This window comes from Homo sapiens, chromosome 5 (genome assembly GCF_000001405.40).
Source record: "Homo sapiens chromosome 5, GRCh38.p14 Primary Assembly".
NCBI classification, from domain to species: domain Eukaryota; kingdom Metazoa; phylum Chordata; class Mammalia; order Primates; family Hominidae; genus Homo; species Homo sapiens.
The window spans coordinates 74,722,219-74,740,894 of record NC_000005.10 but is presented as its reverse complement, the minus strand read 5'-3'; the positions used below and the strand labels follow the sequence as shown (position 1 = coordinate 74,740,894).

The following is an 18,676-nucleotide window of genomic DNA, read 5'->3' as shown; positions in this document are numbered from 1 at the left end:
AAAATGAGCCAAAGATGAGCCTAGCAAATTCACTTAGTAGTCATTAAAAGAATTAAAAACACAAGAGCTGAAACATGTTATTGAGCCACTCATAAGTTAGAATGAAAAAAAGTATTTTTTCTTTTGAATGAAATGTGAATTTTGAAACTGTTTATTTTTGAGTGTTTAAATGTGATATTTATTGTACCCTATCTTCACATAACATGATTTATGTTTTCAGAGAGCTCACAATCTAAAGTAGAATTGACCCACCAATAATAGCTTGCAAACACACTCAAGCTTTTCTTGTTTTTTGAAATCTTTCTAAAAATTTTCCTACTTGGATTTCTCATTTTTCCCTTAGGATTTTGTTTAATATGGATTTAATTTATTTGAAGAAATGGTAACTCAGATTTACATATTTTATTTATGATCAGTTCCTCTGTTAGACTATCAAGGTTAAATCACAAGTATATTCATTTATTCAAGAAATATTTTTAAGCACCTGTTTTAACCACTTTTCTTGTTGCTGGGGATTTAGCAGTATTTCCAGGGGTAATGCTTATATGGATTTTACATTCTAGCGAATAGGAGACAGATAAACTAATAAATATCTAACATCCAGATAGTGATGAGTGTTAAAAACTAAGCCAACAAAATGATGAAGGTGTGATGAGGAGTGCTGGTTACATGGCTGGTTAGAGAAAACCTCTAATTTTGAGCTTCTCGCCAAGACCAGTACACAAAATAAATGCTCATTTGTATCTCTGCTCTGTAGCTACAGACTGCAATACATAGAGTGACACTAGCTCAGACAGCAGTGCCTGTGCTTTGTGGAAGTGCCCTGAAAAACAAAGGGATACAGCCCTTGTTAGATGCTGTTACTATGTACTTACCTTCACCTGAAGAGCGTAACTATGAATTTCTGTAAGTATGCAATCACATATATTAAAATTCTATAGCTTTGAAGAAACAAGTAGGCAAATACTTTTATGAAAAGTAGTTAAATCACCATTTTTGAATAATAGTGGTGAGTGTTATTGCAAATGATGTAATAAGGAATCATAGTAATTTTTGCTTGAAAGGAACATTTTTCATCTCTTGTAAAAAGAGATGTCTTACACATAGAGCTAAGAGGTATGTCTTTTCACTGTGTAAAAGTGTAAGTGTTGACCCTGCCATCTTAGTCTTAGAAAAGTGATATCCTGGGGATGTTTGTTAAATATTCTATAGTTATATTCATCTGGATTTCAGGATTTTTCATAAGCTCAAAATATTTTGTGGCTATAAAGAAAGGTCATTGTTTTACTCCTATTGTCACTAAAAGCTTTGTACTTAAGTAATAAGTCCTTTAAAATCTGAGTAAGCAATGTGTAAAATGGCAGAGAAATGGACTTTAATTATCTTAATCCTGACATTAATAACTTTTCATATCTCTAAATTGGAGAGGCATGATGGTGAAGAGCACAGGCTTTGTACTATTGGATTTAAATCCTAGCTTTTCCAAGTTCCTTAACATCTCATCTATAAAATGCAAAGAATAGGACCTATCTCATGGTGTTCTTATAAGAATTAAATGATTAGTAAAGCACAAAGAACAGTGCCTGGTATAGTAAGCTCTATATTAGTATGTATTAAAGTTAAAAATTGGAGGGAATGGGAATAAGATTGGAGAAGTTCTGTCATAGAAGTGTTTAAACTACTTTAAGTCAGGAATTCCTTTGAAACTAATGAAAATATGGAGCTCTCCTTAGATGCGCAAAATTTGGCAATTGCAGGAGAACTCAATTCTAAAACTTACCAGTGATTACCAGTTTAAGAACATCATTCTGTTAAGAGTGTTGGTTATGTGAACAATTTCAAGTTTATAGTATAGATTTTTATGGTTATGTAATGGACAGAAAGTGGAAGGAGAGCGTAAAAGCAGTAATTGGAAAGTACCTATTTATTTACCCTGTGCAGATTTCTTGATAAGTAGTGTGATATTCCCAGGTATAGCCTTCATGGGGAGAGCTCTTGGCAATGAAATTATTCACAAATAGAAGTAATATTTGGAAGAGAATCTGTTATTTTTAGTTTTGAGGAATTAATGGTAAGATCTCCATTGAGTAATTTAGTCAATGGAAGAAGAGAGTTACGTAACAAAGACATTATTTAGTGGCTCTAAGTAGCTCTACTAGAAGATAAAATAGATCTTTGGGGACATTAAGGTTAAGTTTCTGCAGTTATGGGAAGTGTATTTTATAGGCCTTTTTGGAATGTTTATTTTATAGGCAGTGGTATAAGGATGACTTATGTGCATTGGCATTTAAAGTTCTCCATGACAAGCAGCGAGGACCACTGGTTTTTATGCGCATTTACTCAGGCACTATAAAACCCCAGTTGGCCATTCATAATATTAATGGAAACTGCACGTAAGTAGAAGCTTAGATTATTTTATAAAACTGTATGCACTTCTTTAAAAATACTTTTACTAACATAAAATTGTGATTTTACAGGGAGAGAATAAGTCGTCTGCTTTTGCCGTTTGCTGACCAACATGTAGAAATCCCTTCATTGACTGCTGGTAACATTGCTTTGACTGTTGGGCTTAAACATGTAAGTGACCAAATGATTTCTCTAGGAAATAACAGCTTAAATATTTAATTACAAGTAAGCAACTTGTAATATCAAAAACCCATAAACAATCCAAATGTCCATCAATAGTAGAATAAAGAATATTATGGCATATTTGTCAACATGGCTGAATCTCATACATTTACTAGGAAGAAAAGTAGATTACGGAAGACCACAGACGGGATGGATTGTATTCATATAAAGTTCAAATCCAAGTAAAATAACATACTGTTTATGGATATATATGTATATACATATATGTGTGTTTTAAGTTTATATAAAATATTGTTTTGTTCCCATTGGGTTTATTCCTATCTTGAGCATTGCAAAAAATTTAACCTAGACTTATAACTGATCAGGTTATAATGTTTTGTTAGTAAAGCCTCCATGAGAGCAAGGATTTTTGTCTTTTTTGTTCAATGCCCTACAGTCCATAGATCAGTGTTTGCATATAGTAGACACTCCATAGATAATTGTAGGATGAATCGATGAAAATACTTGATGTTGTATTTATTTTTCATGGGTTAAAACTAAGGATATTTCATTTATATGGATTAAATCAAATATTTTCTCATTGACCTTTATGTAGTAAGCATTGTTATTTTAAACATTTTAACTCTTCATGACTAGTTTCAAGTTTGAAGATCCTTCAGTAGAAAATTCCTATAGGCTGGTCACTGGACTTCTGGCATTGGAATGTCCCCTCTATCTCCCTGAAGGCAGGAGCTCCTTGTATGTATTTGAAGAAGCTCTACAAATACATTGGGACTATTGCTTCAGTAGGATTGTTTTTACAGAGAAGGAAACTGGCACAGAACTTCACAATATAAAAGTTTAGAAGTGAAATTACAGTTTTTAAAAGATAATTGGGCTCTACATGGAAGCCAGCAATCTGCACAGTTAAGGGTATTCTGGTTAATTATATATTTTAGTTAATAGGAGATTTTCTGTAAAAAAGGAATAAATTCTTATGGGTGGTAGAACACTCTAATGGACTTCTCCCTAACCTGTCTTGTCATGATTGAAAATTTAGGAAGGTACATTTGTTTTGCCAAATGATTTTGGATGTGTATGTGTGTGTGTTTTATTGTTTGTTAGAATTTATTACAACAGTATTTTGGATAGAATTCTTATGCAAGTTAAATTAGCTTTACTTATGCAAAGTTATTAATGAGCTTTTTGAATTTTATTTCTCTTTTAAGTTCTGATGAAAAGAAAGGGCCACAAAAAAGTTTTCTTATATTGTGGTTCTTGGTGTAAGATGAGCGCTTGCTAAATGCCACTTTCGTTCCAAGTCATCTTGTTTGCTTGCAGACTGCCACTGGAGACACCATTGTCTCATCCAAGTCCAGTGCATTAGCTGCAGCTCGTAGAGCCGAACGGGAGGGAGAAAAGAAGCACAGACAAAACAATGAAGCAGAGAGACTTTTATTGGCTGGAGTGGAGATTCCAGAACCTGTTTTCTTCTGTACCATAGAACCCCCATCACTGTCTAAGCAGCCAGGTATAAATGGTCTTAGTGTGTCAACTAATTAGTGCGCTGATAATTTATATAAAATAGTTGCAATATACCCTCAAGAGATTTCTTATGTGATTGAGGTAAATTTTATCTGAATATATTGGTAAACATTTCTTGTGGTTGGTCTTGTTTTTTAAGATGTTTTGATTTTTACAAATGCCTTCATTTTTTTCTCTTCTTATTTCTTGGCCATTCTTCTCATATTATATTCTTCCTTACTCTTGTAGTGCTATCTATGGGATTCTAAGTAATTGGCCTTAGAACTGCCCTTCTAGTATATTAGATTAGACAGTAACTGATTCATAACCAATTCAGTTTGTCATCATCATGTATAAAAATGCTGTTTTACCTTGTTTTCTACCTCAACCTCTAGAACTCAATGAAGATATTTATATACTGTGGATAATCTTGTTTGACCTTTTGTTAGTAACTTTGTTCTTTAGCATTTTAGCTCAGATTTTTTTCAGTGGCTTCTCATTACTTCTAGCACACACCCAAACTCTTTAGTGTGGTATGTAAAACCCATGATTCCAATTATAATTTCCAATTAGATTTGGTTACATATAGCAGAAAACCCCCAAATAACAATTGCTTTAATAGGACAAAAATTTATTTCTCTCTATCTCCTAACAGAAGCCTTGAATTGGTAGTCAGGGATTAGAGTGGCTCCACAATGTTATCAGGGATCCAGGCTCTAATCTTTTTGTCCTGCCTGAGTGCATAGCTCCTGGAGCCTTGGGCATCACCTTGGAGTTCCTGACAACAGAAAGGAGTAAGGGGAAGGAAGAAGATAATACCCCTTTTCTCTTAAGATTTCTTCTATGTCATTGGCCAGCACTGAGACATATGGCAGCCTGTTGCAAGGAAGTCTGGTAAAAGCAGCCTTTTAAGTAGGCAGCAGCAGAGTAGAGTGGAAGGCTGCTAGTAGTCTCTGCCACAGCCTTCTTGCCTGGCTTCATTTCTTGTGAAACTTCCGCCTTCATTTTGACCCTCTTCTTTAACCCAAATTAGAATAAAACTATAGTACCTAGCCACACCTTATGCTCCCACAGTAAAATAATTGTGATTTCCTGAAGGTACCGTGCTCTTTTTTGCATCGCTATTTCTTTTCTTCTGTTCTCTCTTGCATTATAATAGTAGCCCATGAACTTAACCTGCCTGGAAAAGGTTTACCCTTTCTTTAGGTCTCACCTCAAGCATCACACTTTATGAGGCTCTCACTGAATTCCTATATTAGACTGTTTGTTTAAGGACAGACCTTCTAGTTCTAGAAGTGGCATTAGAAGCCCTCTTTCCTTTGAAAACAAGTTGGACTCACAGATTATGGGAGAACAAAAGCAATCTCTATTGCCTCCCCTTGTCTTCCTGAGGACCCTGTAGGGAGAAAGAAGGAAGATCCCTAGCCCAGTAGAGGTTACAGTTGCTCACCTCCCCAAATGGAGTTCACATGAAAGAAATCTGAATATAGATGTAAGACAGCCCCCAGTACTGAAGGAAACTGAAACTGAGTCTTTTTGTGTCCACTTGCTGAAGGAATAGCATTTAAGTTAAAATGGGCCTAACAGCAATTTTTCTGTTACTTTAAATGCCTTGAGGACAGTTAAGTATAGTTTTTATTCTAGTGGAAAAGGATCAGGTGATGATGCATCTGGCTGCCTAAGTATATCAAAGTTAACCAAGCTGGTTGTATCAGGAGTGGCCAGGCATTTAAGAGCAGGGGCTGCCCAAACAAAGTAACCCATGGATTCTTTGAAATATATTTGAGAGTCATTTTATATTTCAGATGCAGCATGAGCACCTAAATTCAAATTGTGGGCTTGCAGTGAAATTGCACCAGCCAGTTTTGCATCTAAGAACTCAAGCCTTTAACTACTTTAGGAGAAAAAGTGTGGTATCCAAAGTCTCATTAATGGGCATTAGCTCAGGGGTCCTAAGCCCCCAAGAGGAAGGGATTTACCAAAGCTCCCTTACTTAGACTTCTTTCAAGCAGATCTACATGTTTCTTTTTTGTGCTTTTATTGTACTTACCCCATGGTCCAGTTATAACCCTCGATACCTGTTACAATGCTAACATCACAAATATTTTAAAATAATTTATTTTACAGTAAAAGTTATTTTTATTCCAAAAGTCACTTAGTGTCATACGCATGTACTCTGTTTGAGTATCTGTATGTGCTTAAAATAAAATATTATCTACAATAATGCCTCTTAACCTTGAACGTACATACACATCTCTTGGGATTCTTGTTAAAATGTAGACTCTGACTCAGTAGGTCCAGAACCTAAGATTCCGCATTTCTGTCAGACTCCAGGCATTACCAGTGTTGCTGGTCCTTGGAGCCCACTTTGGGATGTCAAGGGTCTAGAACAGTATTGTCTAGTAGAAATATAATGTGACCTACATATGTAATATAAAATTTTCTTATAGCCACATCAAACAAACTGGTGAAATAAATTTTCATAATATATCAAAATATTACTTCAATATATCAATATTAAAATTACTAATATTTACAATATTAAAATTATTAATATTACTGAGATATTTTACATTCTTTTTTTCACAGTAAGTCTCAGAAACCTGGTGTTTATTTTACATTTACAGCATCTGGCAGTTCATAACATTAATACCCCCAAATGGCTGTGGTTACCATTTGGATAGTGTGGGTCTAAAAGGCCTGGTTTGTATACCTAAGATACTTTGAATGTGTGACTGATAAGGTTAGCTCATTAATCCAGTGCTCAGCTCTTTTCTTTAGCTACACTTTGTCTGTGGAACTTCTAACATATTTCTTTTATAAAAAGAGGGAGAGTATACTTATCAGTTAATTGAGTGTATTAAAATATCACTTTAGATGGCATACTTAATGCCATCTAAAATATACATTATTTTCGCAATGGTTGTGATAATTCATCATAGAGTTATACTAGTACCTGTTTATTCATGATGTAATTTTAGCCTCCTTTTGGCACTTCATTATTGCCAGTTTTTCTGAAGGCATTTTACTTTTTTGTCAGCTCCTAAATTGATATTTGGAAAATAAAATCAGATGATGTTACTGTTCCTCTTAAAACCTTTCAGTGGCTTCGCAGTGCAAACCCAAACTTTTCATCATGGCCTACAAGACCTTACATGATATGATCCCTGCCACACATCTCCTTCCTCATCTGATGCTATTCTTCCTTTTGCCCACTGATCTCTAGCTGCTAGTCTTCTTGCTCTTTTTCCCAACAGCAGATTGTTCCTTGTATAGCCATTCCCTCTATCTGGGATTCCTTTTCTTCAGGATTTTGCTTATAGTTTGTTCATTTCTGTCTCAAGTCATCCTGGAGAGGCCTTCCTAGACCACTCAGTCTCAGGTAGCCTCCCATTATTATTATTATATCAGCTTCTTTTTGTCTCTGCAGTATGTATGGCTGTTTGAAATTGTCTTTTTTTTTTTTTCTTTTTTTGTAAAGACGGGGTTTCGCCATGTTGCCCAGGCTGGTCGCAAACTCCTGGGCTCAAGCGATCATTCTGTCTTGGCTTCCCAAAGTGCTGGGATTACAGACGTGAGTCACCACACCTGGTCGAAATTTCTTTTTCAAAATTTGTTTGCTTATCCATCTGTTTTACCCACTAGAACATATAATAAATTATTTAAAAAATGAAATGTAAAGATAACAGTTGTTTATCCCATAGATTTGGAACATGCGTTGAAATGTCTTCAGCGTGAAGATCCCAGTTTGAAAGTGAGGCTAGATCCTGACTCTGGACAAGTAGGTATATTATTGCTAAACTCCAGAAGCCTTTCTATAAGAGTGTGTGTGTGTGTGTGTGTGTGTGTGTGTGTGTGTGTGTGTGTGTGTGTGTCTAAAACATTAAGTCTGTGTCCTGAAAGAAAAACCTTTCTTTTTAAATTCTCTCATAATACAAATTTCTGCTTTTATGTTGACTATCAAGCTAAATAAGCAAATTTTCCTTATATAATTACACTTCACATTTATAAACTATTTCCCAACATTTTTTACCATTCCTGAAGACAGCTTTTTGTGAAATTTTGAAATAAGGTTTAATCAAGGCAAAGCCTTGAGCCTTTTACGTTAAGGCTTATAAAAGAAGCATACTAGAAGGAGGATTGGAAGGTGCTTTTGAAGACAGTAAAACACCTAAAATGGGAGAGAAGTGATAGATTACAATGTAACACTGTGAGAGGAAGTGGAGTTTTAAAGTAGGTGCAGAACTGTGCTGTATAATATAGCACAGTAGAACAGATGTTTTGATTCATCAAGAAATGATTAAATTACATTCTGCATCCTCTTTTTAGGAGGACAGGGTAATGTTTACATAAGATTTTAGAAGGAGTTTCTTAAAAAGGTTATAAATTTATCTTTAAAAAGGATAAACTGATTTAGTTAACCTGGAAAAGCATGGAGTACTTTGTTTTCCCAAAATGCCAGCCAAATGAGGTAGTAATTTAGTTTAATTGATACTGAAGAGTATGATAACAGTAATTAAAACAGAAATGTTTTATTTTAAAAAACCTATTATTTAAATAATTGAAATGTAATCCCAGCACTTTGGGAGGATTGCTTGAGCCCAGGAGTTCAAGACCAGCCTGGGCAACATAAGGAAACCCTGTCTCTACAAAAAAAAAAAAAAAAAAAAAAAATTAAAAATTAGCCAGGCATGATGGCATACACCTGTGGTCCCAGCGACTCAGGATGCTGAGGTGGGAAGGTTGCTTAAACCTGGGAGGTCAAGGCCACAGTGAGCTGTGATCATACCACTGCACTCTAGTCTGGGTGACAGAGCGAGACCCTGTCTTGAAAAAAATAAATAAAAATAAATAAAATAAAAACTGGCACTACGTTTAAAAAAAAAAAAAGCAAATAATACACAAATCTACCAAGTAAATAATTAAGTCCGTTTCTCTGTTCCTCCATCTCATTCTGCAGAATAACCACTGAAAACTTGGTGAATAGCCTTTCACACTTTTTACCCAAACATATGTTCTTCTGCTGTGCTGTTATGCAGCAGCATAATATAGTTTTGCAAGTATATATGTACAGATACCTATAAACAAGTCATTTTATTTGTATTATTTTACAACTATTTTCCCCAAATAGTTCACTTTTTAACTTAAAGTATAGCAGTCCTATACCAAGTGATTTTTTTTTAAATTTGTGATTACAGTTTTATTACAGCAAAAGGATTTAAATTAGGATCAGCCAAAGAGACACTTAGAGCAAAGTCTGGGAGGGTTTTAAACATTTGCAATGCTTCCTTTATCCTCAGGGACATGTTACCCTCTTGGCAGAGTATTGCCAACCAGGGAAGCTCACCCGAGCCTTTGGTGGCCAGAATTATTATTGGGGCTTGATCATACTGTCCATGTAGTTGACCTTTAGTCTCCAGTCCCTTCCATAGATTCAAGCTAATACGCTAATACCTTTAGTCTTCATTGGTTCAAAAAAGATAAAAGTCAGTTTCTCCCTCATATGAAGGTTCAAGCTAGTCTGAAGGTTTTGACTGCTTACAAAGCTGTAAAGTGCCCTGGATGATTGGGAAATGCCCATGTTGTTGGGAAAGGTTTTTTAGAAAGGTTATTCCCCCCATTTACAAGGTATAGCCCTCATTCTGATGTGTCATGACAGTTGCCTACATTTTCGTTAAGAAAGGGGCTTTGGCCGGGTGCGGTGGCTCACGCCTGTAATCCCACCTCTTTGGGAGGCCGAGGCAGGTGGATTACCTGAGGTCACGAGTTCGAGACCAGCCTGACCAACATGGAGAAACCCCATCTCTACTAAAAATACAAAATTAGCCAGGTGTGGTGGCACATGCCTGTAATCCCAGCTGCTTGGGAGGCTGAGGCAGGAGAATCATTCGAACCTGGGAGGTGGAGGTTGCAGTGAGCCGAGATCATGCCATTGCACTCCAGCCTGGGCAACAAGAGCGAAACTCCATCTCAAAATAAATAAATAAATAAATAAAAAATAAAAGGGGCTTTACCCTCCTCTTATAGGCACCACCCAGAAGCTGTCCACATCAATTATATTCATCTTCCATTGGCCAGAAATTTGGCTTTGCGGTTGGGAAGTGTTGGTATTTAGCTAAGTGTTGGCATCATTAGTCTTAGCCAGATGCTACTTGCCCAGCAGATAATTCAACTATCAAAGAAGAAGGAGAGAATGGCCAGGTAATTCATTGTTTATTGATTCATTATTCCAGTCAGAAAAGTCAAAAGCAATGTTTTGATGTAAAAGCCCCGGGCCAAAAAGAATTACAAAGGAAACTGTAATTAATTAAAAATAAGTATGTATTAACATCATACTTTTATATAGTATTCTGCAATAAATATAATTTACCCTTAATCTTTTATTTCATTCCTCTGGTAACCAGACTGTTCTGTGTGGTATGGGGGAGTTACATATAGAGATTATTCATGATCGAATCAAGAGGGAATATGGACTGGAGACCTATCTCGGGCCTCTCCAGGTGGCATATCGAGAGACCATCCTAAACTCAGTTCGTGCCACAGGTAAAAAGTAAAACATTTAGGATTTGCTTTTTCTCTCTTTCTGTCTTTCTTTCTCTATTTAGTTGCTGAAAGCAGTGTTCATAGTCACTAATGTCTTCTATCAGAGGAGACAGTTTTTATGTATGTGGGGTTTTTTTGTTTTTTTAGGATTTTGTTTTGAATACAGAAAGCCCTATTTGATTATCAGCCATAACATCTCCTGGATGACCACTCATCAACCAAGTGTCCTTTTCAGTGGTCATGGAATAGAGTAAGCCACTGAAGTCGATGGCTTGTCCCAGTCCTCACTATCAGAACTAGTCTAAGAATTTGAAGTCAATGTGTTATTTTTACTCTATAAAGTAAAAGTAGAAAGTCAGTTTCAGTACTTAATAAATATGATTATTCTATGCTGATAGTAATCTTGAGAAACTATAGTTTTTATACTTCTATTCCCAAATGTAAAAACTCACAATTTTTCTGCATATGATTTTAATTTGGTTCCCTTAAGCCAAAAAACATGACAACAATTATTGCTACTCACCCCCAAGAAGAAAGTGTGGAAAGGTTTGTGGGAAATTGTTTAAAAAAAAAAAAAAAAAGACGTTTAGGATAACCAGGTACTTTCAAGTTCCTCATTAGTTTGTGAGAAGTCCTGATGGTTACATTTCACTGAAACTTGAAAAATTAAGCAGAATACAGGAGCAAATAGCATGAGGCGTTCTCTTTCTGGACTGTTTATCTGGAAAAACTAAAAATGCTAGAGAACTCAAAATAACAACTTTTAATGTCTGAGCTGACTAGAATGTAATAGAATTTTCCAGAAGTCAAAAAGGAAGTAGGAGTAGTAATCTGGGAAAATAAGTCAGCACTATAGGCTAGAGTTATTCTGGAAGAATCTGTAATTGTCTCTAACCTAGTGCTTGAGAGCCATATCCTCATGGAAAGAATTAACTAGGAAAAGTCCTTTCCACAAAAGCAGAGGGCAAGGAAACTTGCTTGTCTGGCTGTATGGTAAGGGAACAAGATTTCTGAGAATTTGTAATCATAGGCTTCTGATACAGGTCTTTAGCCTAAGTTCATAGAACCAGTGTGCCCTGAAAAACTCCAGACCAAGAAGAACTTAGTTCTTTAGTGTAAAGTGCTCATGGCTTGGTAGTATCCCAAGGAACCTGGAAAAAAGGGCTTCTCCAAAGATATCATCAACCCAGGCCTCAGATGCCACACATGGCCAGGTCTGGTGGCTCACGCCTGTAATCCCAGCACTTTGGGAAGCTGAGGTGGGCAGATCACGAAGTCTGGAGTTCGAGACCAGCCTGGCCAATATGGTGACCCCGTTTCTACTAAAAATACAAAAACTAGCTGGGAATGGTGGCGAGTGCCTATAATCCCAGCTACTCAGGAGGATGAGGCAGGAGAATTGCTTGAATCCCAGAGGCGAAGTTGCAGTGAGCTGAGATCGTGCCATTACACTCCAACCCAGGCAACAGAGTGAGACGCCATCTCAAAAAAAAAAAAAAAAAAAAAAAAAAGAAACCCCCACACATAAAAGAATATTAACTCATAATAAAATTAAATCAGAAAACCATGAGAAAAAGCACAATGAGCAAAAAGGCAATAGAAACAATAGGTAGTCATACCAGCAAAGGCTTCAGTTATTGGAATTATGAGATGTAGAATATAAAATACTATCTTTGAAGAAATAAGAGAGGCGATAGAAAGTACAGTTGACCCTTGAACAACATGGGTTTAAAGTATGTATGCAGGTACACTTACACATGGATTATTGTCCTGCCTTTGCCATCCCTCAGACAGCAAGCCAAACCCCTCCTTTTCTTACTCCTCAGGCTATTCAGTGCAAAGATGACGAGGATAAAGACCTTTATGATGTTCTACTTTTACTTAATAAATAGTAAATATATTTTCTCTTACGATTTTCTTGGTAACTTTTTTTTCTAGTTTATTGTAAAAATACAATATAAAATACATGTAACGTGTTAATTGACTGTTTATTTGTTGGTAAGTCTTCCTGTTAACAGTATTCTATAGTAGTTAAGTTTCAGGGGAGTCAAAATTTAGGCATGTATTTTTTACTGCATGGGGGTTTAGCACGCCTAGCCCCCACATTATTCAAGGGCCACTTGTGTTAGTAAGGAACAAGAAACGATCAAAAATAGGTGCGATGGGCATGATCTCACATATGTGGAACTTTTAAAAGTCTAACTTGTAGAAGAGTAGAATGATGGCTACCAGAGGCTGAGGATTGGAAAGCTGGGGAAAGGAGAGATGTTGATGAAGTGGGGTACGGAGTTTCAGCTGGACAGGAGAAATAGGTTCTCATGATCTGTTACACAGCACAGTGACTATAGTTAATAATTTATATTTTAAATCTCAGTACAAAGAAATAAGTTTTTTGACATGATAGATGTTAATTTGCCTGATTTTTATCATTCCACGATGTATACATGTATTGAAACATCACATACCCCATAAATATATACAATTATTTGTTAATTAAAAATGAAATAAAACATAAGAAAGGATAATGGAATATCATGCTATGTGTGAGAGAGGAAATGGTCAAAAAATGATGGTGAGGGGGTATATAAGGACACAGGAACCAGCTTGAAGAGACTCTGCTGGCCAAATCTGGATTAATTTGAATACCAAGTATAGACCATTGGGAAAAAATAGTTTCTAAGTTCATACTTATAATAATACATAGGTAAATAGGGAAGAAGAGGGAGGGGTCTTCCTCATAGTGGAATGCCAAGTGCTGACTGTTAGAAGTTGGGGAGTAGGGCTGGAGTCGGAAAATAGTGCAGACGACTCTCCCAAACACATAGAACAAAAAAGTTGCCGTATACATATGGCATAACAAATTTAAAATGAAGCAGAAGTAAACTATTGCTTAGAAATACATGCATATGTGATATAACACTAAAGAAAATAATGAGGATAACATATGATAGTGGTTGCTTCAGAAGGCATCTAAATATTGGTAATACTCTCTTTAGTAGTTTTAGGTTTCATGAATGCTCATTTTTAGCTTGTACATAAATATGTATATACTCATATATAAACGTATATTTATATATAAACATGTATATATTGAGACAATGTCTTGCTCTGTTGAGCAGGCTGGCATACAATGGCAAGATCTTAGCTGACTGTAGCCTTGAACTCCTGGGCTCCAGCAATCCTCCCGCCTCAGTCTCCCAAGTAGCTAGGACTACAGGTGTGCACTACCATACTCAGCTAATTTTTATTATTTTTTACAGAGACGGAGTCTTGCTATATTGCCCAGGCTAGTCTCAAATTCCTGGCCTCAAGTAATCCTCCCACTTTGGCTTCCCAAAGTGCTGGGTGGGATTACAGGTGTAAGCCACCACATCCAGCCTGTATAATTTTAAATAGAAAATGTTTCACAGTATAAAACGTAAGCATACAAAGGAATTATGAAGAATTATAGACTATAATTCTTAGTTTTGAATTTGGGCCATGAATCACTGCATTACATGGTCCCTCACATAAATATGGCATAGTTTTGTTTTAGTAAAATATTGGAGATTGGTAACAGACATAGTAAAATATTGGAGATTGTTGGTTTTTAGCAAATAAGAGATGCTGTTTTCAATCTTACCAAAAACACTTTACTGGTTTTTTGGGAAAGAAATTGTAAACAGTAAGTGCATAAAATATTGCTGGAAAAATACACAATATAAAACATTTTGTGGGTTGTCAGGATTTAAAGTCGTTTAATTTTCATTAGCTTACCTTTTATATTTGTAAAGGTTTTATCATTTAATTTTTTTAATATAAAAGTTTGTAACTAAGAGGATTTCAATCACCTACAAGACATTTTGAAAAGTTTAAAAGTATAATCTTCGTAACATGTGCCTCAACATATCTTAATGTTAAAACAATAGGTGATACAGAGCAGGTTTTTAACATTGATCAACACAGAAGCAGATGCTTTGTTGGTAGAGCTCTTTACTCTGATTTTTATACTGTATTTAGTGCCATTGTTAATATTCTCTCCCACTTTATCTTGTATGAGACCCTGAGCTTGTTGATGATAATTTTGCTGTTTATAGTACCTTGATACCTTTCCAGAATTAATCTCTGAGGTGCCATATTCAATTTGTTTACAGATACCTTAGATAGAACTTTAGGAGACAAAAGGCATCTTGTGACTGTAGAAGTGGAAGCAAGGCCAATTGAAACATCATCTGTTATGCCTGTGATTGAGTTTGAGTATGCTGAAAGTATCAATGAAGGCCTTTTGAAGGTCTCCCAAGAGGCCATTGAAAATGGAATTCACAGCGCATGTCTCCAAGGTAAGACACTCAAATGAGAGTAAGCATTAGTATCCCACTCAACCATTTAATCACTCCTTATATTACAGATTATTTCAGTCTTTTTCCTAACTTTGTTAGTGTTTTCTCCCTATTCCTTTGCACTTCTCAGTTACTTCTCACTTCACATCTAGCAGAGTATGATACAATTTTTTTCCCTTGTCTAGGACCATTGCTTGGATCCCCAATTCAGGATGTAGCAATTACTTTACATTCCCTGACAATTCATCCTGGCACCTCCACAACTATGATTTCTGCCTGTGTCTCAAGATGCGTGCAAAAGGTATAGAACTATCCTAATCCTTATGGCTTTAAGGTGACTCTTCTGAGTATAGTACCACTGATCTTGCAGACAGCTGTGTTTACAGAGCCTTATCTTGTGTCTTTGCCTCCTCAGCCTTGTGGTCAACAAGAGTTCTTATCATGGAGAATCTCTGATTTCTTAATCACCAGGTTTTTATTTCAAAGAGGATCTTAGAAATTACTATGTAACATGGATTGCTATTGGAATATACTCTGATAAAGAGGCAAGCTTCCTTAAGTGACATTTCTGCTTTCCCCATCCCTGACAGACAGCTATTAGAGGCAAGCATGGTAGGTTTGAGTAGAAGCCAGATTTGAGGTTAGCTTGGCCCAAAATGGACTGTAATCTAAAGAACACTGAAGATCCAATATTGGTTCCAGTTTTGGAGATTGTTATTCAAATAAGATTGCTTTAGTGCTTGCTTCAGCAGCACATATACTAAAATTGGAACGATACAGAGAAGATTAGCATGGCCCTGCACAAGGATGACATGCAAATTCTTATAGAGTTCCATATATTTCTCTACTTATATTAAATTATAAAGATTGCTTTAATCAAGGACCATTGAAACCAGTTAAGTCCCACTGAATAACAGATTCAGGCTAAGCACCTTCTCTTCTCAAAGCATCAAGCAATGGGTCTTCTTGGTGTGGTTATCTGGGGAGTTTGTCCTTAAGTGTCGTGGACCCTCCGCTTCCTGCCTCATGAACCTACCAGAACTGGATTAACTCCCAGGAGTGTGGTATGCTGAATGCTGATTCCATGCATTCTTCTCAGCATTGAACTACCCTAATTTCTTAGGTGATTGCTTTTGCATTATTTATACTTGGTTTTATAGCCATTTTTTAATACTTGGACTGTGTTTGAGACCCAATTTTCTGTAGTTTTATTTGAATCCGAAATTACAAAGTTAATTTAAGTATTCCAAACCCCTAACCTAAGAAAGCCAAACTTGATATCTCTTCGACATGAGTTTAAATTTATACTTCTTAAAAAGCTTTTTGATTAAAAACAAAGCTTTGAAAAAAGTTTAAATATTGTTCACCTAAGAGTATGTTGGAAATGTTACCTGCAAAGTAGTTATGACGATATTGTTGAGAAAATTCACCCTCAAGTAATTTTTAAATTGTTTTTTTTTTTTTTTTAAGAGACAAGGTCTCACTATGTTGCCCAGGCTGGTCTTGAACTCCTGGGCTCAAGCAGTCTGCCAACCTCGGCCTCCCAAACCCAAAGTGCTAGGATTACAGGTGTAAGCCACCATGCCCATCCCCAAGTAATTTTTAAAGTTTCTCTGGAAATTGGTTTTAATATTGAAACTAAGGTAATCTGAAAAATAATGCAGTTTCTAAATTGACCCCAAGCCCTCAATATATTGGCCTGTCCTTCAAAATGTAATATGCCTTCTAAAAATAAAGTCTGCATTTCCATGTTCATTTGCCTTTTTAATAAGATTATGCCAGAGAACAAGAATTAACTTTATGGGGGCTTACATTTAGTCATTAGTGTTAATTCGTTACTTCAAACAAAACACTCCTAATGGAAGTACTGCTACCCTTGTTAAGCTTCTTCTAATGGGGAATCTCCTTCTCTCTGCTTGTAAGTGCTTCATGTATTTATTGAGTCATCTGTGTTGTGCTTATAGTTCACCAGGCACTGAGAAGGACACAAATAGGATTATATTTTACTCTACCTAAAGGAGCTTGTGATTTCATAAGGGAATTAAATATAGCCAAAGTATTAGATAAAATGGGTGAATGCCATGAAAGTAGTAGGAAGCAGGGAATTGGGGAGGATTCTTGGAAAGATTTATATTTGAGCTGAGATGATTTTGGAGGACGTGAGCATGGTGGGGGACATTCCAGACACAGATAAGAGTCCTTTTAACTGTAGTACCAGATGAAGGCAGGGGAGTTGTGTGTTGAAAAAGTAAAATGGTTTCAGACTGTAGAGAAAACTTTAAAAACTACATTAAAGAGTTTGAACTTTGTTCTGAGAATGGTGGAGCATAATTTAAAGGTTTCGAAGAGAGAAGTATCAAAGTACAGAAGGGATTTGAATAGGGAAGAGATAGTAGAGGACAGGAAATGGACTAAGTTTGACCTAGGATGCCAGCAATAGGAATGGGAAAAACAAAAAAAATCTTACAGCTTACTTGGGGAAAAGGAAGTCAAAGGTGAACTGAAGACTACTGATGTCATCATCAGAAAAAGGGATGTGCATAGAAGTGTTTGGAGAAGAAAATGATGAGCTCAGTGTGGGACATGTTGGAGAGCTGCCGGATATTCAGACACTATCCCAAAGCAGGCCAATGGAGTACAGGACTGGAGCACTCAAACTATGGGCTGCATAGGATTTAACGTTTTTGAGGAAGCCATGTTGAAGTCGTTTTTGAAGCTCTCCAGATAGGTAATATTGACAGGAAAAGATTGTGAAAAGAGGACTAAGAACAGTTCTGTGAGCATGGTATGCCCTAGTTAGATATGCAGAATTCAATCTTTTTTAGGATTTTTTTCTCTTAATTTTTACATCCTTTTCAATTCCATTATTTTATTCTGAAAGACATTTTCAGTTTCCACATTCTTTATGCATGTTCTTCTTGGCCTTTGAAATCTAAGATTCTAAATAAGAAAAGATTTTACATAATGTTTCTACTACCTTATTGCACTAAATTTTTCCTTTTTTTTAAGCTCTCCCCTTTATTGCTGTCTCTGGCATGTGGCATGGCATGGACTGTAATTATAGACATCAGGAACAGAAACATGAGGTTTAAATATGAACAAATGAATCTTTGAAAGGGGAGGACTTTCTGTGACTCTGACCACATGTTCACAGGCATTTTTTATAAACATCCCCTTGCATCATACCATACAAAAGATCTATAAATTCTGTTATCATGCTTATTATACAAGCAAATATTATAGTTGTTGCCATCTTATAAAACGTTATCTTTAAAGAGAGAGTTAAAGCAAGCTTATGTCTTTTTGTATGAGCTCTAGGCTGTATTTATTTTAAGTTTTTATTTATGAAAGATAAGTTAACATTCTTTAATTTCTTTAGGCTCTGAAGAAAGCTGATAAGCAAGTTTTGGAGCCTCTGATGAATCTTGAGGTTACAGTAGCTAGAGATTATCTCAGCCCTGTCCTGGCAGATCTGGCACAAAGAAGAGGAAACATTCAGGAAATTCAGACTCGCCAGGACAACAAAGTTGTTATTGGATTTGTTCCCTTAGCAGAAATTATGGTAGGTACTTTGTAACTGAAAAGTACATATTCTTCTTAATTCAGGGGATATTATATGCCAATGAATAGACAATCAGTAACCTGAAAGAAACATTAAGGCTTTGATTTAGAGAATACATGTTAAGTTTCGTTTCAACCAGCAGGAATGGTTAGGACTTTGA

At 36.0% G+C, this 18,676-nt stretch overlaps 1 protein-coding gene and 1 pseudogene across 10 annotated transcripts in view; both read left to right on the top strand.

Moving 5' to 3' along the window:
- Window positions 1–18,676, top strand: part of GFM2 (GTP dependent ribosome recycling factor mitochondrial 2) — a 45,912-nt gene that overhangs the window by 26,223 nt on the left and 1,013 nt on the right. For 4 of the 10 annotated variants that reach the window (NM_032380.5, NM_001281302.2, XM_017009986.2 and 1 more), the window contains 9 exons: window positions 758–906; window positions 2,253–2,393; window positions 2,478–2,577; window positions 3,910–4,099; window positions 7,797–7,873; window positions 10,497–10,635; window positions 14,769–14,954; window positions 15,140–15,255; window positions 18,334–18,516. In NM_032380.5, the coding sequence (NP_115756.2) occupies window positions 758–906; window positions 2,253–2,393; window positions 2,478–2,577; window positions 3,910–4,099; window positions 7,797–7,873; window positions 10,497–10,635; window positions 14,769–14,954; window positions 15,140–15,255; window positions 18,334–18,516 (1,281 nt within the window). Of the gene's footprint in view, window positions 1–757; window positions 907–2,252; window positions 2,394–2,477; window positions 2,578–3,909; window positions 4,552–7,796; window positions 7,874–10,119; window positions 10,469–10,496; window positions 10,636–14,768; window positions 14,955–15,139; window positions 15,256–18,333; window positions 18,517–18,676 lie in introns of those variants that run through there. The other 6 variants (NM_170691.3, XM_047417835.1, XM_047417834.1 and 3 more) reach the window with 4 other exon arrangements.
- Window positions 15,691–15,795, top strand: RNU6-658P (RNA, U6 small nuclear 658, pseudogene; annotated as a pseudogene).